This window comes from Homo sapiens, chromosome 20, assembly GCF_000001405.40.
Source record: "Homo sapiens chromosome 20, GRCh38.p14 Primary Assembly".
NCBI lineage: Eukaryota > Metazoa > Chordata > Mammalia > Primates > Hominidae > Homo > Homo sapiens.
In genome coordinates this window covers 61,111,790-61,137,259 of record NC_000020.11, presented here as the reverse complement: position 1 = coordinate 61,137,259, position 25,470 = coordinate 61,111,790, and the positions used below count along the sequence as shown (strand labels likewise).

At 49.4% G+C, this 25,470-nt stretch overlaps 2 annotated features.

The window, feature by feature from the left end:
- Positions 13,470 to 14,115: an enhancer, noted in NCBI's record as "NANOG-H3K4me1 hESC enhancer chr20:59698201-59698846 (GRCh37/hg19 assembly coordinates)". NCBI's record gives its function as "activates a minimal SCP1, AML or CMV promoter by ChIP-STARR-seq in naive H9 embryonic stem cells {active_cell/tissue: H9 hESC(naive)}" and the evidence as "EXISTENCE:reporter gene assay evidence [ECO:0000049][PMID:30033119]".
- Positions 22,926 to 23,425: an enhancer, noted in NCBI's record as "H3K4me1 hESC enhancer chr20:59688891-59689390 (GRCh37/hg19 assembly coordinates)". NCBI's record gives its function as "activates a minimal SCP1, AML or CMV promoter by ChIP-STARR-seq in naive H9 embryonic stem cells {active_cell/tissue: H9 hESC(naive)}" and the evidence as "EXISTENCE:reporter gene assay evidence [ECO:0000049][PMID:30033119]".

Genomic DNA, 25,470 nt, shown 5'->3' with positions numbered 1-25,470 from the left:
CTCAGGTCATGGGGGGGGTCCCCACACCATGACCAGGTCATGGCCTGGTCTCCCTGGAACAATCCCGATTGTCCTGATTAATTAGTCATTGAGCCCTTCTCACTTGCCACGTCTCCAGGTTGTATGTCTCAACTCTGCACCAAACATATGGCAGGCAGATGACTTGAGGCTGATGGTTTTGGGACAGTTGTGGCCATTCCTTAAGACTTGGGGTCTATCCTATTCATGTCATAAGATATTGAGCTTCTCAGCCTGTTGGGAGCAGGAGGAAAGGAAACCAGCAAAGTGTGACACATTGGCTCACGGGAAAGCTTTAAGGCCCCTGCCTTCATCCCCCAGATCCAAAAATGATCCACACAGGGCCAGTCTTCTCATCTCCTCTTCTTTGCTATGCTGCCTTCCCTCGGTTCTTTTAAAGCAGATCTCAAAAATCCTATTGTGTTTTGACTTTGAGAAACAACAACATTTTAGCCTCTGAGAAATAGCAGATATTATTTTCTATTTGGCCTCTCCACTTTAGAATTCAACTTGCTAAATATTATAGTTCAAAACTTATATTTAAGCTAATTAATAGGCCCTGGTTTATTTTCTCCTTCGGCAATCTGATTAGCTTCTCTGTGGAGTAAAATGGTGATGTACGGAAAGCAAATGTCGTCTGAAGCATTAGTACATTTAGACAGAGTCTCCCTTGAGTTAGCCGTTTCCTCCTGAAAATGGCAACAGCTTCTCCGCCCAGGCGGTGCAGCTGTCTCCACTTCTGTCTTACGTCTCCTGACACGGGTTCGGGGGTCGAGGTGTGTCAATGTGGGACACATTGTGGAGGAAGTCAGGCAGGGGTTTGGTGGGGGCCGATGACCTGACATGTTTTCCCTGCTAGGGGCAGTGAACGCAGGAGCCTCCCTGCCTCTGTGAATGAACCAAGTTGCTCAGACCGAAGCTGCCCCAGCCTCAGAGTGAGGGATGGTGCGAGCTTGATCTAGACCCTGTGAGGAGGGGCGAGACACCAAGAGCTCGCAGAGGCAGCTGCAGTGTGCAGATTGTCAACAGAGCCTCGGTCTTGCAGCGTTTCTCTCTCTCCTCACTAAGCCATGCGAGGTGTGTGCCCTGGATTTACTTCCATGTCAAGCCTACTACTGCTAAGCTCCTTAGCAACGCGGAGCCCAGGGCTAATCTCTGACCTGTGTGTAGCGTAGAGAGCGGTCCCTGGGGGGTCTCCGTTTGATGTCCCGGCCTGACTCCCCTCACCCGCGGTGCACAGGGCCATAATATCCACATTCAAAGTTGCTCTGGGGCAGCTCCTCTTGCTTGGAACTAGGAGGGGATTATCTGGTGGTCGTGTTTCATTCTGGGTGAATTCTTTCTTTTTCTGTACTGTTGATGGGGAACTCTGCGGCACTCTGCCACTTATGCAGTGATTTTGGCCCCAGTTGACCCACAGAAATTCAACTCTTCGATGCCTCTGGCTGCTTCTGATATCGGAGGCTGGCAGTGCGCTAGCCTCAGCTTTATTTAGCACTGTGGATGTTTGTTTTACTTTTATTCAATTAGACTTTTAACTTCTTTTACAACATGGCTGTAAAAGAACTGTAACCTTCTCAAGAAACACAAAAACTGAAACAAAAGAATGTCCTGGAGCTATTTAAAGTGGAAAGTGCGGCCCACGGAGAGAAGCATCAGGGAGAGGATGTGGGCCTGGATTCCTGCCCCACCATGCGCGGCTGTCCACACATTCACACGCCCTCGCAACACAGAGGGAGCACCAGAAGCAAATCATTGGATCCCTTTGCTGCGGTGAATCCTTTCCAACCTTCTGTTTATCACCCTGGATGTTTGGTCAAAAAGGCTGAGCGTCATCCCAGGTCACCTGTTGCAGAACTATGGATCTGACTTGATTTGGAATTCTTTTGATTCCTCCAGTAGAGCCGCTCCTCGGTTCCACTTAGGAGGATAAAGTGGGTGACAGAGGCTGTCTTGCATTGGGGGCGACTGTATCCACTCGGAGGGCGGTCATGTCCAGTGTCTGCTCTCTCCTCAGTTACTTGCGAAAGCCCCCAGAAGAGGGAGAGTTGCGCTATCCCCATTCTCTGTGAGGAACCTGAGTCCCGGCAAGGGGAGATACCCCATAAAGATCACACGGTTAATCCAGGCACCCCTGGCGTTAGGTCCCTGGATGCATGTCACTGCCCTGTGCTTCGGTGTGGGCCTGAGCTCATGAAAGTTACTTAGGGTCACTCCACATGGGCTGATTCCTAAAGGAGTCTGTTTAAGAATTACTTTCAAGTTTGTTTTCTCCTTGCTTTCAAAATAGACAGCTTTATAATGCCCTGATCTTCTTTCAAAAAGATTGGGTCAGAATCTGTGCTCATTCCAAAGCAATTTCAAAAGCAGCTGTTTATTAAAATGTCAGCAGCAGTGATTAATTTCGGATGCCCTGCAGTGCATCTGTTTGCTGCTGATGACATCCCCGGGCTCAAGCTGATGTCTGGGGTGGTAGTTCTGCCTGGACTCCCCTGGGTGTGTTTGTCCCATAAGATGCATTTATTTCATTCAAGAAAGACCTATCGGTAAGTCCCATATCCAATTAACATTTATGCCCTTTGACATCTTCACAGACAACTGGCACTTCTAAAAAAAAAAAAAAAAGCCAGAGGAATCTGGAGGTTAACAATTTGGATTAGAATCTCTAAAGAGGACATCTGCTCACTGAGATTCCAGAAGTGACGATTGATTCATGATGCCCTAAATCACATCTGTGTGGGGCAGGGGACGGGCGGACTGTGAACTCTTGCAGAGAAACATCTGTCACCCACCAAATACCGACCCAAGTTTAAACAGCATCCAATGGCGAATCTCCTTGTGACAGGAGGTGAGATGGGGCTGAGCCAGTCCATTCCACATCTCCTTGTGCTGCAGCAGGAAAGGAGGAAGAATGGACTTCGTAACTAAGTCTTTCTACACCCTGGGGTGTTGGAAACAGTATTTAGCAGAGTTGTGCATGTGGCCAGCTTGTGGATTGATACATTCAAATGAATGAATTGAGGTTCCAAATGTGTAATGTAAACAAGTCAGCAGAAAGTAGGAGCTACTTGGAGCAGGGTGCTGGTCCGGGAGGGCTGTGGCTGAGTAGGGAGATAAACTTTGGATCCAAACAGATGGGTTGGCAAAACTAATCTGTGGTCAATCAGTTCACAAAATAAACGCTTTGCTACAGGACCAAATCCCTGAAATCGAACATAATTCAATTCACTGAAATCAATTTGCAAGTTTATCAGTTGGGTGAATTACCTATGTTCTAAAATGTGTTTCGGTTAACTTAATAAAGTGCCTAGCAATTTCAGGTGCAGGGACTGGTTTTAACAGCCTCTGAGGATATTCCCAAGTGTCTTGAAAGAATAAAAACATCTTGCGTACTTTGAGTTTCAGGCGTGGTGCCTATTATGCATGTAAACGTCCCCCCCCCCAATGTGTTTTTCCTCGTAAATGTTACACAATTGGAAGCACATGCATATTTCACTAGATTATCCTAAAAATCAAATGGGAGAGTGTAAAAAGGCCAGCACATAATGAGAACTCAACCAATGTCCATGCATTCCTTCCCTCGGCTGGGCTCTCAGCAATTCCATCTGAGGCCTTCCTGCTTCACTACCAAGATTGCTGTGAATTTTCCATGCCACACATGTGCCTTTCATAGGGCATCCCAAGCCCGCCATCCATCAATGGAGAAATCACGACACCCTGTCTTTAAAATAAGGAAGGCTCTGGGTGTACCGCAGGGCTGTTGTATGGTCTGGAGAATAGAGCAGCTTTCTGATCACCTTGGCTTCCAAGGTCAGTGCACACCTATGGGAGGGCTGGGGAGCCTGCAGTCTTGCTCCCGGAGCAATGGACCAGACCACACGGATGCTGGGTCTCAGAAAAGGTGGTCCATGCAGGTCTCAGCTGCCTAGCAGGAGGACTGAGTCCCATCTTCTCCAGCTCACCAGGGGATACTGCCATGCGCTGTTGGCAGCTAAGCATATTCTGCCTCACATCCTGATCCTTCTCATCCTCTCTTTTCTCCTGTACATTTTTAGCAATACTTTTGTGCTTTTCTTCCTCGGCACGGCCTCCCTGGTTGGCTTCCTCCCTTGCCCTGTGTCAGTGTGGAACTTGCGTGGGCCAGCTGAGCTGTGGGCATTCTCCACAGCCACACTGCTGAGAATTTCTGAAGAACCCCCCGCCCCTCGTGCGGATCAGTGTCACTAGAAATTCCTGGCTTCCCAGCACACTGGGCCCTCAACAATGTCTGGTAGTGTTTCTAAGATTCCTGCAGGGACCGACCTTTCCCCTTTGCCCCAGTGACCTTCAAACCCTCTTGATTTTCTGCAATTCGTGTGCCTTTTCAATGTGGAGGAGAAAACTAGGAGCCACCAGAGGCAACACCCTCAAGGGCACTGAAGAGACAGTAGGGAAGAAATCCAGCCAAGAAAAGACCATGTCCTGTCCTCCTGCAGCGTATGTTCTAGTGGAAGGAGACAGGGAGTAAACGAAGAGGCAAATTGTGGCCTATATACACCAGGGAATACTACTTAGCCATAAAAAGGAATGAAATAGTGTCTTTTGCAGCAACTCGGATGGAGCTGGAGACCATTATTCTAAGTAACTCAGGAATGGAAAACCAAATATCACATATTCTCACTTATAAGTGGGAGCTAAAGCTATGAGGATGCAGAGGCATAAGAACGACACAATGGACTTTGGGGACTCAGGGAAAGGGAGGGAGGGGGCTGAGGGATAAAAGACTAGACATTGGGTACAGTGTACACTGCTCAGGTGACAGGTGCACTAAAATCTTAGAAATCACCACTAAAGAACTTATCCAAGTAACCAAAAATCCACCTGTACCCCAAAAACTGTTGAGATAAAACAATTATAAAAAGAGGTAAATTACATTGTATGTAAATGGCAGAGTGCTGTGGAAAACAATAAAGTGTGAGAAGGGAGGCAGGGAGGGCCGGGCTGGGTCTTAATTTTAAGGAATGTTCATCAAAAAGGCGGCACTAGCTGCGGGTTGTGGCTTACACCTGTAGTCACTGCTACTCGGGAGGCTGAAGTGGGAGGATCGATTGAGTCCAGAAGGTTGAGGCTGCAGTGACGTCTGATAACGTCACTGCACTCCAGCCTGGGTGACAGAGCAAGCCCTTGTATTTAAAAAAAGACATCACAGAGAAGGGGACATTAGAGCCAAAACTGATAAAGAAGGTGTAGGGTTAGATGTGCGGATATTCCCGCCACCCTGGAGATAAAGACCAGCAGCCTTAACACTGTCAGAAAGTCCAGGTGGCATGGCATCTGCTAGCCCCCATCCCAGCCGTGTGCGTCTCCCCCAACATGCCCTGGTACTCAGCATTCCAGTCCCACCTGCCATTCTGCAGACCTGCCACGCCCCCTTCATGGGATGTAGCCTTTCCTGTCTCTGACTCCTCCTCATTGCCAAACACTTGGCCACCCCTTCCCAGCTCAAGCGTCACATTCTAGATGGGTTGGCTCTTCCTGTTAGATCGCCAGGCCCATACGTAGGCCAAGCTCTCAAGCCACCCTTCATGTTTCTTTCACAGTGCTTATCACAAGTTGTAATTAGACATTATTTATTATTTGGGGCATCAGCTGATGAATGTTGGAGCTCCATGAGGTCAGAGGTGGCTCAGCCTTCTTGTCTACAGCAGCGGGCAGCCCACAGCCTGAACGTGGCTCAATGCCTCAGTGCAAGAAGGCCTCAGCTTTGGGGGCACACATCTGCCTTCATGGTCAGAAGGTGAACTGCAGGGCAGGGCAGCGACTTCTTTACCTTGGCACAGTTGAGAAGATCCTGGCCCTGAAAAATGCTGGAATAGTTCTGCGGGGTGCGAGGGCTGAGGAATCCACTTGTGGGCAAGGAGGGGTGAGTATGAAGGAGGTGATAAACCAGTGCCCAGAACAGAGGCAGTGTTCAGCCCAGCCTGTGTTGTGACACTGAATTGCATTTTAGACCCAGCCTCCTGCTTTAATTCTCGATTGTTTCTGGGTCTCTGACAATGCTTTTGTCCCTTGACTCAATCACCATTCCCAACAGACAGGTGCTCTGTCTGCCTCAGTTTAAGAGAGCCCAAGTCCACCCGAATGCCATCTGTGTCTTGATGGGATATAAAGTGCCTTTTGCTCGGAGTCTATCATCCTTCTGTGAGGCCAGGGGGCCGTTCTCATGCATGACATTGAGAGTGGCCTCTGCCTGCTGCCATGTACCTAAGAAGGTCTAAGTCGTGGACGCTTCCCAAGGGCACCACCTCTTTCTCCCACTCTGGGTTTCCACAGGGTCAAGACGTTCATTTGTTCACCCAGCATAGATTTGGGGAGCTTCTCTGCACATTCAGCACTGTGCAAGGTGGAGGGTTGGGGGCTCTCATGGCGGTCATGGCCACTCCCTGCGTGGACCACCATGGTAGTGGTTGCTGAGTGGACTGGAGGGGCAATTCACATGTTAGCCAAAAATGAGGTCTTGTCAGACAGGTGCTGTGAAAAACAAAGAAATAAGGAATAAAGTAGGGTCAAGAAATACAGGGTGACTCCCAGGAGGGCAGCTGTGAGTGCCGAGAGCTCAGTGGGTCTCTGGGGCCCTGCAAAATGCAGGAACAGTTCTGTAGGGTACCGGGGCTGAAGAATCCACTGTGGGCAAGGAGGGGAGTGTATGAAGGAGGTTATAAACCAGACGGGGGCGAGACTAGGTAGGAAGGTCAGGACAAACAAAGTATTGACATTTTATCTTAAGACAAGACTAGGGAGGGACCATCCCAAAGCCTGTACCTCCCCAGCATGAACTGGTTTCTCAGCTGCTAACTGCATGCTGGCCCATCTGTTCCTTGTCTGTTCCTCCGAGAGGCTGGAGCTGAGGGTAGGTGCGCGGGGAGCGGGTGAGGATTCTGGGGCTCAGGGGCTGGCAGCTCAGGGCCAACACAGGCTTCCTGGGAGAGGCATCAGGACACTGAGTTGGGAAAAGCTCCTGCCCAAGGCCAATTCTAGGAACCTTTCTCTTCTTCTACGGGTGACAGCATTGGGTTCCAAAGGTCTTGTGAGCTGATTTCCCACACTGTTCCGCAGAGATGCAGTAGCTTCCTACAAAGTGCCATGTGGTGTGTTTGATACACACGTAGATACGGTCCACAGAACATTCACTGTAAGATGCGTCTTTGTTTAAAGCAAAGTTTCCCTGGAGCACCTGGCTGTCTTTACAGTTATGCATACTTTAAGTGCTAACAAATTAAACACTTTTTTTGAAGATGGAATGAGCACACACAGCAGACTTTATACCAGTCACCTGCGTGTTTGCCTGGGAAATGAGGATGAGTGGGAGCTAGCCAGGTAGGTAGTTAGCATGGGAAACTACCATAGGAGGGTGGGTGCTTCAGGGGTGGAGACTGAGTGATGAACAGTGAGAAGTCCATGCAGGTATTTAGATAGCTTATTTCGGCTGTGGCAGGGGTCCCCGGGAAGCACTGTGTGGTCTGTAACTTCTAAGCCATTCCTTTTCTCATCACCGCAGGAAAGGAGATGCTGTCATTTAAAGATGTCCTGGGGTGGTTTGAAATTTCACACTGTTTTTATTACTTCATTAGAAGAGTGTCTTATGACGCCGTCGGAAGACAACACTGGCAGAGTTGAGAAATGCCAGCTCGCTCCCTTCCTGCCCTGCCATATTTTCAATATGCAAATCAGTCTTCAGCATGTGCTTCAGAGATAATTAGAATGACTGGGTTTGGGATCTGCCTGTACCGTCCTCGATGAGGCAGTGTTTATCTGGCAGGGCTGGGCTGCTGGGTGCAGGGGACTTGCGGCTGAGAGACGGAAGTGTGGTGGGGGGCGCGTATCTGGGGCTGCTTTCCCTTTGCACATGTCTAAGGACCTCTGCCGCTCTTTTCTGTTAACTTGGAAGGCTGTGGACGATTGTTCTTGTGGGCTGAGTTCTTGGGTGGGGATTTTGCGATGGATAAAACTTGGCCTCGTTTTCATGAGGACTTTTTAGAACTCACAGCTCGTCACTGACAGCCACATCTTAATTCCTCCATTCTCATGGCATTATCAGGGTCTGAAGAAAGGGCAGAATCAGATGTGGATTCCCGCCTGCAGAGCGGGATTGTGGTGGGCACTGGCTCTGTGAGGTCCAGGCAGTGGGACGCCCGTGGGTCGCTGGGCATCTGTGATCCCTGGCTGTGCTCATGTGTAGGGAAGTGCAGGCTGAGTTCAACCCCCACAGCATGTTTGAAGATGGAATGAGCTCTGCCCCACACTCTCCCTCTTCCATCTCTGCCATCAAACACCCTGGCCCTCTGCCGTCTGCCTCATTGCAGCCACAGCACCTGCAGGCAGTCACCTTTAGAAGCAAGGCGTACAGAGCTGGGCACTGCCAACGAGACCAGCTGCTATGACCGAGAGGACTCACACACGTCCCCCCCCATCCTCCTGCACTCGGGGCTGTTTATGGCCCATCCCCATCACAAGCTCCAGGACAGACCCTTGGGGTCTCATTCACCCTGCCTCACCTACTCCATGTGCCCAGACCTAGGCCCAGTGCAGTTAAAGAAGATGAATAAATCCTGGAGGTGTAATGTATAGCATGAGGTCTAATAATATTACATTGTATATGGAAATTTTGCTGAGAGTAGATTTTAGGGGCCCTTACTACACACACACACACACACACACACACACACACACACACACACACGCATGGTAACTATGGAAAGTGGTGTAGATACTAATTGGCTTGATGGCAATAACCATTGCACTATAGATATTTATGTAAAGCTTCACGTTGCCCACCTTCAATATGCAGAATCAAACAAGGAAGATTAGGAATTAGGACCTGTGTTATTTTTCTGTGGCTGCCTTAATCATAGGACAGTCTGGGTGGCTTAAAACAACATAAATGGGCTGGGCACAGCGGCTCACGCCTGTAATCCCAGCACTTTGGGAGGCTGAGATGGGCGGATCACGAGGTCAGGAGATTGAGACCATCCTGGCTAACACAGTGAAACCCTGTCTCTGCTAAAAATACAAAAAATTAGCCGGGTGTGGTGGTGGGTGCCTATAGTCCCAGCTACTCAGGAGGCTGAGGCAGGAGAATGGCGTGAACCTGGGAGGCGCAGCTTGCAATGAGCCGAGATCGTGCCACTGCACTCCAGCCTGGGTGACAGAGCGAGACTCCGTCTCGAAAAAACAAAACAAAACAAAACAAAACAAAACAAACAAACAAAAACAGAAATGGAATCTCTCCCAGTTCTGGAGGCCAGACACCTGAGGTCAAGGTGTGGGCAGGGCCCGCTCCCTCCGTAGGCTCTAGGGCGGGTCCTTCCTGCCTCCCCCTTCTTCCGGCAGCTTGGGCAGCTCCTGGGCTCCTGGCAGCATCACTGCAGCCTCTGTCCGCGTGGCCACATAGCCCCTGCTCTGTGTGTTTCTCACAGCCTCTCATCTCATTCCTGACAAGTTACTGGATTCAGGACACACCCTAAATCCAGGATGATCTCATCTTGAGACTCTTGACTTCATCACATCTGCAAAGGCTGATTTCCAAATAAGGACCCATGCACAAGTTCTGGGGCTGGAACTTGAACATATCTTTTGGGAGGCCACTGTTCAACCCAGTAGAGATTCCTAGACTGGGTGGGGGTGGTGCTGGGGTGATGACACTCAGGGGCATCCATACGCAGGGCCAGGTGGGGAGAGAAGACGCAGCCTCATGGGCACCTCGGGGTGGTCTTTGGCATCAGTATGGTGAGCACCCACTGGACTCCGCTAAGCCCCTCTTCTTTCATAGGAAACCCAGACATCTGGGAAAGTCGGGGCTGAGTGGTTTTATTCAGCATGTTTCCTTGTTACCTCATCTACTATACATGGATGACCAATTTTCCAGGAATTAGAATAAAATGCACTTAACACTAAAGCTATTTTAAAACTTAATTTCAATTAAGTTCCTTATGAATATCAATTATCACTGTATGGTATGATCGCTAGTTAATAAGGATTTCCAGTTGATAGAATGGCAAATTAAGCGGCTTTATTGTACTCAGCACGGGGCCACTTTGAAAGGTGCATCGCTCCACGTGCTTTTAGGGAGACGGCACAGACCACGGATCCAGGTGTGGCTTCCCGTGAGGGCTGGCACGTGCTCTGCTCCTGCAACTGTGGGCCAACACTCACCTGGCCTGGCCTCGATGGCCTCATCTGTAGGTGACACAGTGACAGCCTCAGCAAGCGCAGGTTGCCAGGATAACAGAACAGAACAGCTAAGGTGTGCTGCCCTTCCCAGGAGCCATCAGAAATAGGCGCTCTTTTTACCCCCATTGTAGAACAGTGCCGTTTCAGATGAGGAAGTCTCTTGCCCAGAGTGCTCCACAGGTGGGCGTCAGGCTCTTACCCACCACGGGTAGACTTGGGGAGGCTCTGTGTCCCCAACGCTCCCTGAAGCTTCTCCCAAGCTAGAAGCGCATTCATCCTTAGGAGCCCCCCACCCTCCAGGTCCTGCCCAGAGCACAGACATTGCAGGTAAAATCAACACAGAGAGAGCGAAGGGACAGCAGTCAGTGTTGACCAACATCTGGGATCCTTGGGCCTCCCCTGGCAGCTTCGTGCTCATGGGACACACCCTGCATAGGGTGGTGGCTCATCCCTGACACTCCCTGGACACTAAGAGGCAAATTGCTGCCCAAAAGCCCTGGGATAATTTGTTCACCTGCTGCCGGGGTTTCACAGCCAAGGCCCTGAGTTCGTTCGTTCTTTATTTTATTAATTAATTAATTAATTAATTAATTTATTTATTTATTTTTAGTAGAGATGGGGTTTCACCATGTTGGCCGGGCTGGCCTCAAACTCCTGACCTCAAGTGGTCCACTCTACTCGGCCTCTCAAAGTGCTGGGATGACGTAGACCTGAGCCACTGCGCTCGGCCTCCAGCTTGTAAATTGAGTCCTTTTATTTTCATATGTCCTACTTTTTGTTCTCAATGCTTATTTTTTTTTTCCCTTGGTCATACCTGCTATGTTGTGTTGATTTGTCTTTAAGAAACAAAAACATCTTGTGGTTTTCATCGATCAGCAATTTTGTTTTCCTATTTTATTATTTCTTTCTATGATTTCCCTCAGGGTTGGAAAGAGGGGCCCGCTTTTCCTGAGTGCATGGGTGGGAACTGACACGTAAACATACCCATGGCAAAGCAAGCTCTGTGTGTGTCCAATCTGGAGCCACTCATCTGAGCCCAGGCCGCCCCTCCTGCCGTGGCCGTGTGGAGACGGGACTTCAATCCTGCTTCTAGGGACGGCGAGGGTGAGATGGTAAGGATACTTGGAACGTGGCCTTTCAGTGTCTGACCCATGAAGGGGGCATGAGCAAGTTTCCAGAGTAACAATTTAGATGTCTTGCTTGGAATTAATATCTTGCAGCTCTTAAAGCCCTGGGAAAAGTTGAGTATTAGTCAGGTATTTAGTTGCTAAGAGACCGGTAGAGAAGCAGGCGGCCCGGCTTGGAGAAGATTCTAGCAGTGCCGGATCCTGCAGGGTTTGAAATGTTTGATTTGTGGAGAACAAAGCTCCTTCTCCCCAACCCCCCAATTTGTTTTTAAACAAAGAGTGGGTCTCCAATTTCTTGTCATGGTTCCCTTGTTCTGTACTCAGCCTCCTTGAATATGAAAACCAAGCCTAGATTTTCCTGTCTTAACCCTCGGGGAAGGGGCTTCTTGGGGTCTTGGCTCAGCATACCTGGTCACCCTTCTCCTTCCCCTCCCCCTGGTGGGGCCCATTTGCCATATTCCCACCACCTGATCTCACACCTGGCCACAGCTGGTTGGACCATGGTGTGAACACACGATCCAAGTTGGGACAGATTCTGTGTCCTGGGAATTTGGACCTGGCTCTGAGGGATTCTTGTATAAGTGTCTCTCCAGCACAACAGGACGCCGACTGAGGGACCAGGGGCCATGGTGCGTACCGCCATTGGAATGGGCAGCAGAGACAGCCACAGAGGGGCCAAGCGTGGCTTGGAAGCTAAGAGAGGCTGGTGGTGTTGCCTCTTTCTGCCCGCCACCCCTTTCCTGGGCCTGCGCCTCTGACCTGGGCCTCATGAGATGCGGGGTCCTTTGTATGAACCCTCCTTCTCCTGGCTTACACTAGCTCAAGTTGTCTTCTATTTCTTGCAACCAAAAATATCCCAATTAATCCCTTTCTGTTGCTGGAGTACACTCAGAGACACATTTGCATCTCCCCCCCTTTTCCCCAGGGACCTCGATATGCAGAGTCTTCGTTTTCAAACATCCTCTGAGTCTTAAAACCTGGACTTGCAGCCTCTGTGCCGCTTCCATTCGGGGTTCTCAGAAATCCAGGTTAATCCCCTTCTATTTCTCATTACCTGGCAGACCTCTGGGACTCCCCACCAGAGCCCTTCCTGGCGGATGAGGTGCCATCTTGCCAAAGATGGGGATCGCCAGCTATTTTTTGGAAATGTAGGTTGATTATAACTCAGGGTGTTTTGATGTTAAGCTACAGTTTAGGGCATATTTTAGCAGAGTTAGGCTTGGGCCTCACTGGGATCTCAGTCCTGGCTCCACTATTAACTGGGTACATAGCCCTGAGCACATTATTGAATCTTTTTAAATCCTCAATTTCCATATCTATAAATTGGGGAAAATAATATTTTCTGTTTTGAAAATTACAGGAGGGGTTCTATTGTTAGGAGTTGAATTGTGCTCTCCTAAAATTTGTATGTTGAAGTCCTAACCTCCAGCATCTCAGAATGTGACCTTATTTGGAGACAGGGCCTTTACCAAGTTAAAACGAGGTCACTAGGGTGGGCCCCAATCCAATATGACCAGTGTCCTTAATACAAGGGGAAACTCGCTTGTATTAAGGGGAACACACACAGGAAAACGCCATGTGAAGATGAAGGTGGGGATCAGGGTGAGGCTTCCTCAAGCCAAGGAAGAGCAAAGATTGCCAGCAACTACTGGAAGCTGGAGAGAGGCCTGGAGCGGAGCCTCCCTCACAGCGCAGGAGGAACCGGCCCTGCAGACACCTTGGCTTCAGACCCCTGGTCCCCAGAACTGTGAGACGATGCAGCCCTGCTGTTTATGCTCCAGTCTGTGGGCCTTTGTTGCAGCAGTCCCGGAGAGGAAAGCGTCCATGTAAAGTGCTCTGCAGGGATGGGTGTGTGGCCAAGGATCTTGGCAGGTATTGTCACTGCCTCCCCCAGTGTCCCCTTCCTTTGGGCGGTCTCCTTGGGCTGCCTTACATTCAGAACCTCCGTGGCCGAGCCAGCCCTGCCTCTAAGCTCCTGCTGCGAACCGCCACTCTCCTGCCTGGGAGATGCCTTCCGTGGAGCCCGGCACAGCATGGGTGGCTGGAGCCTAGAAGGCCAGAGGCTCCTGGGCCACGAGGGCCCCCAGTTGAGCTCAGTGCATTTCTGGAGGCTCAGCAGGCCCTGAGTGCCCTTCTCCACACTGTGCCCATGGAACCCCCATCTGGAGCTGCGCCCCCCTCACAAGTGAAGCAAGGCACAGAGCAGATGAGAATGCAAGGTCCTGGCCTGGTGTTTTCTGTTGGTGAGGTCAGGGCAGCCTCTGCGGGACTGGCTGGTGGGAGAAACAAGGCCCAGAGTCCAGCAGGTTCTCTACCCTCTGCCCTGGAGCCAGGGAGGGCTGAGCCTCAGCTTCCCCCTGCCTGTGGCCTTGATGTGATCCACTGTCTCCTCCAGCCCTGCCGCCCTGCCCCGAGGCCATCCTGAGGTCCTTGTCAAGTGTGGTCTGGAGGCTCCACTCTGCATCCAGGCGGGAGGGCAGGGCCCACCCTGGCCAGTGCTGCCACTCCCGCCTCAGTCAGGGCTGGCACGAGAGGGCAGGACTCCAGTCCCTGATGCTTCTGTGTGTTTTTCCTTCACCACTTGTCACTTGGGACTCCTGGGCTGGAGGGACGTGCAGGGTGGCTGCTCTGTTCCTCTCCTGTCCCCTTTCCAGGGATCAGGTACTGACTCCATTTGTGCCCAAGCACGTCGTCCCCTCCCCTGCATGCCTTTTTTCCTACTCCTCATCCCTCTAACTCCTGCCTGCTGGCTTCTCCCTCCTGGCAGCTCACCCAATTGCGCGGAGGTTAATGATGCTTTGTGAAGATGTTTCGCATCTCCCCAGAGTCAAAGCAGCCATCATGTAGGCCGTCATCATGGTGACGGTGTAAACAAGGTGGGTTTCACAGTGTTCCCTCTCTGATTACTGAGGCTCTCACTGGGACGGTGTACTCTAAGATCAAGCCGCTTTACAGTGAGACACACAAAGACAAGCTCAAGTCCATCCTCCCCCAGATCCACCAAGGTGGCCCTCGGTCCAAGTAATTTTACGAACAGGAGTTTCTATTTCAGAAATCTTCCCGAGAGAAAACTCTAGAAAGTTCAAAACCCCAAAGAATTCTCCAACAACTAAAAAAAAAAACGAGCAAGTTTAACCGTTTCAACCATTTTCATTCTCCTTGTTGCTAAAATGTACAACTCCTAAATGATTACTTAAAAAACAAAACAAAACACCTTTTGGCAAGGAAAACAATAAATTCCCTAAATAATAATGTGTTTGTCCCTGCCACAAAGGGAGCATAAGTGTGTACACATGATGATATTTCCAGATGTGGAATTTCAATTAATTAGACAGAGGGTTCTCTGGGGTCAGCGTCAGTGTAGTCAGCTGAAAAAATATCTCCCAAGGATGTTCACATCCTCATCCCTGAAACCCATGACGATGTCACCTTACTTGGCAACAGGAACTCTGCAGGTGGGATTAAGGATCTTGAGATGGGACATCATCCTGGATCATTTAGGTGGTCCCAGTGTCCTCATAGGGTTCTTATGAGATGGGGCAGGAAGGTCAGAGTCAGGGAGAGATTGGAAGATGCTGACTTTGAAGATGGAGGAAGAGGCCAGGAACCAAGGAGTGCAGGCGGCCGCTAGACTCTGGAAAAGGCAGGAAACGGATTCTCCTGCAGAGCCTCCGATGTAACACAGCTCTGCCCACACCTTGATTTTGGACATGTGACATCCAGAGCATGTAAGAGAATAAATTTGCATTGTTGTAAGTCACTCCCTTTGTGGTGGCTTGTGACAGCAGTGGCCGGAGACTCAAATGGTCAGCGTGTAGAGCACAGGCACGGACCTGCTCTCGCTTGATGGAGCGCCCACAGTGCTCTTCAACCCTGCCCTCTGCTCCCTCTTCCAAACACAAAGCAAAACTACTCACTGCGGGGCGGAGGTCCAGCTGTGGGCAACAGGGCCGGGCACTGGAAGCTAAGCCACACAAAAAGTGACCACGTGAGTCTCAGAGCATCACACTTTATCCCCAGCCTGGCTTTATTATTCCTTGTTGCACATTTCCCCGTGCGACAGGCTGTGCAGCTTTGCTTGGGTTGTCTCTTTCCTAGGGCATGGATGTGCAATAAAGCCAGAGGTTCACTCTGCTTGTGGCACGGCTGCCTCTTCAGTGAGCATCTGCTGGGCACATAGTAGCTGCTCAGTAAATATTTGCTGAGTGAGTGATGGTGTCCTGCTAATGAGATCAACATCTCCAAGGAGAACCAGACTTTTGGCCGTGTTGTATCATTCTGATTGTATCCGGATCAAAATTAAATAAGGTACACAAGGCAAAGTTTGTCCTTGGCAGGATGTGGCCCCTCCTCAGGTGAAGCCAGGCTTCCCGCCTGAGCCCTTTCAACCCCCTGCTTTTCCTTCCGCAGCCCAGGACAGGGGTCATGCTGTCCTGGAGGAAAGTGCTTTCTGGGGGGTCCTCTGGCTGGATCTGATTTCTAAACATTTTCATTAAGGACATTCTCCAAGGTGCGCATTATCACCCCAGGTAGCAAGTGCCGGCTGCTCTGCCTGGAATCACTTTGGTTAGCCCCTGAGCCGGCCGGATCACCATAGCTCTGTGTAGTTCAGATCCGTGTCAGGGTCCTGGAGAGCGTCAGGCCTGTTTGGAATCACCCAGGGCTGTCACTCAGGGTGAGACCGTGAGCCTGTGCTGTAACTCGGGGAAGGTGGCCAGGTCAGGGAGCCATGGCCTTTCTCAACAGAAGCCACTTCATGCTCTTCCTCTGGAAGGTGTAGCTTTTGCTGTGGGGGTGGCTGTTCTAAGTTCTCCCGGGTGATGGTCTGAATCTTGCTGTCAAGCGATTGGGGAAATGGTGGGAAAGTGTGTTACTGCTCATTTCTGGGGCCGTCTAATGCCTCCTGCTGGGTGGTTGCAGAAGGGCTCATTCTATAAAGGAACCCCTGAGGCTGGGTCATTCATAAAGAAAGAGGTTTAATTGACTCACAGTTCCACAGGGCTGAGGAAGCCTCAGGAAACTGACGATCAGGGTGGAAGGTGAAGGGGAAGCAAGGACCTTCTCCACAAGGTGGCAGGAGAGAGAAGTGCGAGCAGGGGACACGCCAGACACTTACGAAACCATCAGATCTCTTGAGACTCACTCACTATCATGAGAACTGCATGGGGGAACCGCCCCCATGATCCAGTCACCTCCCACTGGGCCCCTCCCTAGACATGTGGGGATTATGGGCATGACAATTCAAGAGGAGATTTGGCTGGGGTCACAGCCAAACCATATCAGACAGCAAATAGGTGAAATCAAAATAAAGACTAAGTACAGTGAATTACAAAACTAAGCAAAACTGAAACAGGTGGAGTGTTGGGTGCTGAGGTCCTGGTTTCTTGTGTGCATAGAGATAATTTGTTTGCTTAAGACTTTATTTTTTATTAATGTTATTTTTAATGAACATTTATGGGGTACAAAGTGATGTTTTGATGGATGTATACAATGTGGACGGGTTAAGTCAAGCTAATTAACATATTCGTCTCCTCACTTACTTACCATTCTTTGTGGTGAGGCATTTGGAATTTGCTCCTAGTCATCTTGAAGAATTAATTTTTTTAGAGTTGTTTTAGGTTTCCAGCAACATTGAGCAGAAGGTGCAAAGATTTCCTACATAGTCCCAGCCCCCACATACGCACAGCCTCCCCTGTTATCAACATCCCCCACCAGATGGTATACTTGTTAACAAGCAATGAACCTATGCAGACACACTGTAATCACCCAAAGTCTGCAGTTTATATTAGGGCTCACTTAGTGTTGTAAGTTCCACGGGTTTGGACAAATGTATAATGACATGTATCTCCCATTATAGTATCATAAAGAGCAGTTTCACTACCCTAAAAGCCCTCTGTATTCTGCCGATTCATGCCTCCCTCCTGCTGACCTCTGGCAACCACTGATCTTTAGATCGTCTGTGTAGATTTGTCTTTCGCGGAATGTCATGTAGTTGGAACTCTAGGGTGTATAGCCTTTTCAGCGTGGCTTCCTTCACGTCGGAATGTGCATGTAGGTTTCCTTCATGTCTTTTCCTGGTTTGACAGCTCGTTTATTTTTAGCCCTGAGTAGTATTCTATTGTCTGGATATTCCATTGCTTGTTTATCCACTCACCTGCTGAAGGACATCTTAGTTGCTCCCAAGTTTTTGCAACTATGCATAAAGCCGCTATAAGCATCTGTGTGCAGGTTTTTATGTGGACATACGTTTTCAAACTTCACTTGGGTAAATGCCAAGGAGGGCGATTGCTGGATCGTATGGTAAGAGTATGTTTAGTTTTACAAAATACCAACATACTGTCTTCCAAGTGGCTGTCGCATGTTGCGTTCTCAGCAGCGATGAGTGAGGGTTCTGTTGCTCCACATCCTTGCCAGCATTTGGTGTCATCCGTGTTCTGGACTTTGGCCATTCTAGCAGCTGTGTGGTGGCATCTCGTTGTTGTAATTGGCATTTCCCTGATGACGTAGGATGTGGAGCATCTTTTCATGTGCCGTTTGACATCCACATGTTTGTCCTCTTTGGTGATGTGTCTCTTAAGATCTTTGGCCCATTTTAAAAATTGGATTATTTTCTTACCATTGAGTTTTAAGAGTTCTTCCTCTACCAAATATGACCATTAGAGCTAGGAAATAAACTCCAGAGGAATGTCAAAACATTGACTCAAAATGACCCCCATTCTGTTAAAAAGTCAAAGCTCAAAGACAATGCAAACCAAGAAAAGTCCTTCTCTGCAGGTTGTCAGAGCCTTGTTCTGAGGCTTGGTGGCTCTGAGGAGAGAGGCAGCGGTGCTGGAGGAGAAGGAGCCTGTGGTGAAGAAGGGCTGCAGCTGCTAACTTCATGGAAACACAGGGGCTGTTAGGTACCGCCCGCAGGAAATAAGGGTTTTGTGCTGGAGTTTGCCTTTGTCCCCAGCATTGGCTGGAATCTGGCAGGAGGTGAGTATTAATGGCATCTTCTATGGGGCACTTATTAGGTGATGAGAACTGGGCCAAGCCCCTTTGCGTGAATTGGTTTGTTTAACAGCCCTCGGTGATACTCTTCTCTCTCCCTTGTTGCAGGTGTGTAGGCAGATGCTGGGGAAGTGGGTCACTTGCGGGAAAGGGCAGAGCTGGGATTCACCCCGACTCTGCCAGACTTTCCAGCCCAGGTTCTTCGCTGTGTCATTGTTTTGTGTCTGCCTCACAGGATATGAGACAGATGAAGTGGTTCTGGTGATGAGCGAGGTGACGTGGGCGCTGAGGAGTCAGGATGTTGGAGCTGGAGGGAGGCCCTGGGATGGAGCCTCTGGAGGTCCAAACACTGGGCAGCTGGGAACAGACTGCATCTGAAAGCAGGCATGGGCTGGAAGCGAGAGGACTGGACCACAGTCAGGGTGTGGAAGCTCAGCTAAGAAAAGCCTGGGCGGCCAGAGCCAAGGGTGTGCGGCAGCCTCTCCTCCAAGCTCAGGAGAGCCAAATGGTAAATTTGCAGGGGTTGTGCTCACTGGTTGTTGAACACAGACATTGTAAACATTAAATGATATAAAATTACAAGTAAACAAATCGTATTAAAAAGAAAGGTCATAAATACTCAAAAATGTATAACTTTTTAATTACTTGACTACATTTTGCTACTATCTATGTGGTGAAGATTATGAATTGATTTTACTGGGGATGGTAAAACACTACATCACTGTCTGCTGCTGTACCTCTCTTCCCAATGTTACATTCAGTAAAGTCACATAGATGGCTTGAAGTTGACCACGGCAGGAAGATTTACACTATGAAAACTGGCAAATGCTAAAAATCGGGGCTTTTTAAAAACTTTTTTTTTTTTGCTTTTTTGAGAGCTGGTTGTTAAACATTTGCTAGCAAGCATGCTGAGGATTGCAAACACTGGCGTGACTCACGGAGGTTGTTTCCAGCCCTGGGAGAACTTAGGCATGTTACTGTGGACCCTGGCATGGGGGGCAGCCCCAAAGGAGGGAGCTCCCCAGACCAGCTTGCTGAGTCATGCAGGGGCCTGGGTGGAACCTGCAGGGGCCTGGGCCGTGCTATTCTTCCAGACAGGGGTGATACCCACTGTATTAGTCAGAGTTCTCTAGAGGGACAGAAATCACAGGACAGATGTATATATGAAGGGGAGTTTATGAAGGAGTATCAACTCACACGATCACAAGGTGAGGTCCCACATTAGGCCATCTGCAAGCTGAGGAGCAAGAAAGCCATTCCGAGTCCCAAAACCTCAAAACTAGGGAAGCCGACAGGGCAGCCTTCAGTCTGCGGTGGAAGATCCAAGAGTCCCAAAGCTGAAGGACTTGGAGTCTGATGTTCGAGGGCAGGAAGCATCCAGCACAGGAGAAAGATGGAGGCTAGAAGGCTCAGCCACTCTAGTCCTTCCAGGTTCTTCTGCCTGCTTTTTCCTAGCCTTGCTGGCAGCTGATTAGATGGTGCCCACCCAGATTGAGGTTGAGTTTGGCTTTCTTAGCCCACTGGCTCAAATGTTAATCTCTTTTGGCAGCACCCTCAGACATACACCCAGGAACAATACTTTGCATCCTTCAGTCTAATCAAGTTGACACTCAGTATTAACCATCATAGCCATGGCCTCTGGACATCCAGGTGGGGGCCCAGGAAGGCAGAGACCACTCAGCTCACAGAGCACTGGGGAGGAACACTGGCCCTGGTGAGTGTGGGTGGGACTGGAAGGGACCATCTTATTTTTACCTCCATTCAAGCTTGCCCTCGTGCCAGGAACCATGCAGGGCGAATCCAGGCTTTGTCTGACCATCCTCCCGTCAGCCCTGTGGGCTGACATCATCATCCATGAGATGTTAGAGGGAAACTGGAGGCTCCGAGAGGCTCCATCATTTGTCCAAAGCTACCTGGGGTGGAACTGGGTCTCGAAGTTGGAGGCAGGGCCCATGAGGAAGCCCAGCCTCGTAGTAAACAGGGGATTGTGTCATTTCCCTGTGGGGCTCCAAGGGCAGGGACGCATCAGAAGATTAGACCCAAGGTGCTGAGCAGGTGAGCTGGTGGGGCCCGGAATCCAGACAGCCCTGCAGGGGGTAGAGTGTGGGCCTTCTGGCCACACCAAGAAGAACTTTGGTTCAGCCTGAGCTTTTGGGTCTTTTCCTTAGCTGCTCTTCTGTTTTTAAAAATATTGGGCCTTTAATCAGAGCATGCATTCTAATTATGGTCAAGGTTTGGACCAGAGGACTCAGCATCACTGAGCTACAGCCGTGTAAGCAGAAACATGCCCTTGAGGGCTGCCTGGGTGCCAAGTTTCTGCTGGGAAGCACAGCACTTGGGAACTATGAGAATCCAGGACTGGCCACTTCTTTCTTTTCTCTTTTTTTTTTCTTTTTTTGAGACAGAGTCTCACTCTTGTTGCCCAGGCTGGAGTGCAGTGGCACGATCTCAGCTCACTGCAACCTCTACCTCCAGGGTTCAAGTGATTCTCCTGCCTCAGCCTCCCAAGTAGCTGGGATTACAGGCGTTAGCCACCGCGCCTGGTCAGGACTGGCCATTTCTTAACCACACTTCTTGGGGAGAAAAATGCAAGTTTCTTAAACTCTCAAAGTGCTAGTTTTCTTCCCTTTAAAAGGAGAATATAAACAGGAGCCAATTCACAAGGTTGTTAGGCTACAGTGCAATAGTGCAAGGGAAGCATTTGGAAAAGCCCTTGGCAGGTAACCCACACTCCATAAATAATAGCAATTCATATTAATTTTTAATTGCTCTTGTTATTATTCAAATGAGCTTTAAAACAAGGTCTCCGGAATTTGAACTGCACAGAAACAAAATTATTTCCAAAGTGCACTTTCCCTTTGATTACCAACCTGGAGCCGGGGAGAGGACCCTGGAGGAATTAGTGCTGATGGGCTTGTCCTTTTAAACTGTTCATCAATATCTGTGGGCCGAGCTGTCTGGCTCCAGCCTGCTCTTGGGCTGAGCCCCACTTGGCCAGGGCTGCTCTGGTACAGGGAGGGATACTTCCCCATGGAGACAGAGGGAGATCATGAGCCTGTGCTATTGTTTGCAGAGCTGCAGTTCCGGGACCCAGTGTAGGATGGCTCTTCAGGAAAGGCGCTGGCGATGACAGGTCTGGGAAGGTCTGAAAAGAGCAGGACATCTAAGGATGGCAAGGCTGACTGTCAAAAACATTTCAACAGTCAAGGCTTGGCAGCTCGTGTTAAAATACTTCTGGAAAGTGGTTTCTTGATTTGGGAAGAGTTCAGGGAGCCTGGAATAATCCATATTAGGTAGCATAGAATGGCTAAGAGCATGTCTGCGTGCATTCATCAAGCAAATATTTATTGAGCACTGCTCTTTGCCAGGGACTGTGATACCCAGTGAACAGCAAGAGAAATCCACCTGCCCTAGCAGAACTTACAAACAATGAACAGAGTAAATAATAAAATACAGATTATGTCGGATGTAGCATTAAAAAAAATGCTGCCATGGAAAGGAAAGCTGAAAAGCAGCCCTGGGTGCCACTTAGCTGGTGATGCTTAGAGCAGGCTGTGGGTCTCTCAAGCCTCAATGTCCTCATCCATAAACATGGGGGCAATGAAGTAATGACCTCGTGGAGCCGCAGTGAGGGTTTTGGGAGTGACAAGGACTAACTGGTGGCTTGGTGGCTGGCACAAAAATGCAACCCTAGGAAGCTGGTATGGTCAATTATTATTCAGTTTAAGGAAAAGCCCCCCACCAGCAAGCCTGCAGTAATGAAATACAACATTTTCTCAACAGAAGAGATGGGTGTGCCGGCCGATCCATCCTGTTTCCCTTACATCTGTGGTAGCATCTGGTGGACCATTCTAAACACACCCCACCTTCAACATCGACTGTAGAGAAGGGACTGCCGTCCGTCATTCCCGAGCTTTGCCGGGGGGGGCAGGGGTGGACTTGTGTCTCAGGCTTGCCAGAGGTGGAAGTGGATTTGCCACATGTTCCAGGGCCCCTGACCCCTGCCCTCTGCCCACTGCCCACTGCCCACAGTGGAGTGTGTGTGCTAAGGACAAGGCAGATAAGCCGATTTGAAAGTGGGAAATCAGATGGGAGTTTTTGTAATTATCCAATTAGCGTTTCTTCATTCCCAGCAATGCGCATGTCTAACTCCAAAATTAAGGCAGGGATGTAGAACAAGGAAATACATTATTTTGCTCCCTTAAGCACCCACCGCCATATGCACATGTTTGCAAAGATTCCGCATCACTGGGTAATCTCGGCAACACATCAGTTCTCGGATCCTGTGGGTTCCCCAGAGGAACCCTTGCGGGTCGCTGTTTAAATGAGGAGAAAATTGGTTATAAATCAACTTAATTTTCAAAGATATTAGTCCAAGGAGAACCCGATTTTGTGTGAGGCCGTGGCTCCATTAAGAAGTACCAGAACTTGTAATAAAAAAGAAATAAATGTGTCTTGAAAATCAGACTCATAGAAACATTTTAAATTGTGGCGATATTACATTTTAACAATGTTTTCCCCAAGCCCACTCCCTTCTTGGGTTTCTCATATATTTCATCAGTTTGCTCTAACAAGGAAATACTGCATGTTGGAGGAAAATGGCAGAAGCAGCCCTTATCTGTGGTTGAGCGCTTGGGATCTCTCTGATCCCTGTTCTCGTCTCCCCACCCAGCAAAGACGAGGAACAAAAAGCTACATGTGAGCTCCAGAAAGGACATTTCAATTAGAGGACGTGCGATGAAACGATAGGTCAAGGCAGGCTGGAATTAAACTTCTGAGACCAAGAGATTTTAGAAGTGGCTCCCTTTGTTTTGAGTCTCGAATGCTGTCTGCAGTGGGGGAATGAAGTGACACACCTGACCATTCCCCAAGGTCGCCCTGCAGCCTCAACAGGGATGTGTCCAGATCCCATGCTGGGTAGCCCTAGGATGCACCTGGCCTGCTGGAAGCTGTGCCCACCGCTGATGGGGGGCCGATGGTGCCGTCCGTCACTCTGTGAGCTCTCGGTGCCCCTGCAGCACTCTTCTCTTCAGATGGCCCTTTGGAGGGTGTTCAGACATGGGGGCACTCCTACCCCAGCTCCCTGTGCACCACCTGCCTACGATGCATGCACCTGATGTCCTTGCATCCCTCCCAGGTGCTCTACCTAGACATGGTTCCCCAGGGCCTGGGTTGAACCTGAAGGTCGAGCTGGATTGCAGTAGGATGAGGGGGCAGAAGGGGGGTGACCCTGGCTCCTATGGTGGGCCCTTTGGGAAGAGGACACTCTATGGGTGCACAGTGATGGCGAGTGTGTCCCTGCGCTGTGATCTTCCTCTTCCCTTGACAAGACAGGCGGGAAGAACGAGGCAGCACAGACCTTCCCCAGGGAGCTGCAGAGTTGACACCTGGATCTCAACCCCTGCACCATCCTGGGGGAGGAGACCCCTGGGGTTGGTAACCACCTATAGCAGGGAGGGAAGACGTGTGTTTGGAGAATGACCACTGAGCACAGGTTTCACATGATTTTGAAATTTGTTATTCATGCACATGGATTTTTAAAAGTGATTTTGGTGCCTTTGGGCCAAAGAAGGCGTTTTGTCTGAGCTCTTCATGGTGCCTCTAAAAGCACATTCCAAATCTCTGGAAAGCACAGCCTTTGGAAGTATATTTCCAGTATTTCTTATATTTTTAAAAATATGATGTTTGTTCTAATTACCAAATAACTTTGTATTTTTATAGAAATTTTGGAAAATACAGGAAATTATTCAGAAGAAAATTAACATCTCCTGCAATCCCAGCACCCCTGTGTGCCTCCTTGTGGTGCCCCCTCCCACTTTTGGGTCACTCAGAAGCCTGTGTGTGTGCATAACACAAAGTCAAGACAACCTTTTATTCACACGTTTCTCTATCTTGTGTTTTTTTATTTTTGATTCATGAGAATTTCCCATAGTCTCAAAATATTTTTCGAGAGTGAATTTGTTAATTGCTTCATGTCCCGTCATGTGTCTGTGGCATAATTTTTCCAGCTGGTCTCTGATTGTAGAGCATTCTGGCTGTTAGAAATTTTTCATGGTGACTAACCATGTCATATAGTGCATATCTCTGAGTTTATAAGGAAAAAAAACCAGTTTCTCCTATACTCTCACTTGACAAACAACACAGAAGACTTCTGCGACCAAATGTGTGTGTGTGTGTCACGGGGGTGGTTGTGGTTTCCTTCATGCCAAGAAAGCCACCCGTTCTGCCGTAACCACCAGCTGGGTGTCTTCTAAAGCAATTCAATTCTGACATTCTCCACCTGGAGATGGCCTCAGGCCCCACAGGTTGAGGGCTCAGTCTCCAAGATTGCAGCCCTTATTCCCCACTTGTGATGCCATCACAAGCCCCCCATCATTTTGCCTGTGCTTTGGACCACAGCTGTAAGTCAAGGTTCCCACAACTGCCCCCTTGGGTTCCATTAGTTTGCTAGAGTGACTCACAGAACTCAGAGAAACACTTACTTAATGTTTACTGGTTTATTAAAAGGGATAACACATGACTACCAAAGAACCGATGAAGAGATGAATAGCGCAAGGTGTGGTGAAGGGGTGAGGGGCTTCCATTTCCTCTTCGGTACATGGCCCTCCAGGAACTTCCAAGTGGTGCGTTCAGCTTTCTGCAAGCTCATCTTAACTCTGTCCTTTGGGGCTTTTATGGAGGCTGCATTACTTAGGCATGACTGATTACATCACTAGTCATTGGTGATCAGCTTAATTTTTAGCCCCCTCCGCCCCAGAGGTGGGGGATAGGAGGTCAGCGTTGCAAGTCCCAACACTCTAATCCTGCCAGGGTCTTTCCTGTGACCAGCCCCACACCAGAAGCCCCTACCTAGGGGCCCCCAGCCACCCATCATCTCATCAGCACACAAAAAAACACTTATCTCTTTGGAGAACCCAAGGATTTCAGGAGTTGAATGCTGGGAAACAGGAGGAAGACGAAAGATATACTTTACAATATCACAATATCCTTTTATGTAAGTCTCTGGCCATATTTGTTGGGTAAATCCAGTGATGCTTCAGATGAGCAACACTGACTGCCCTCTGGCCTCAGGGACTGGGTGCTGGAAAGCATGGCCTGAACTCTGTGCTAGGCAGATGATACTGAC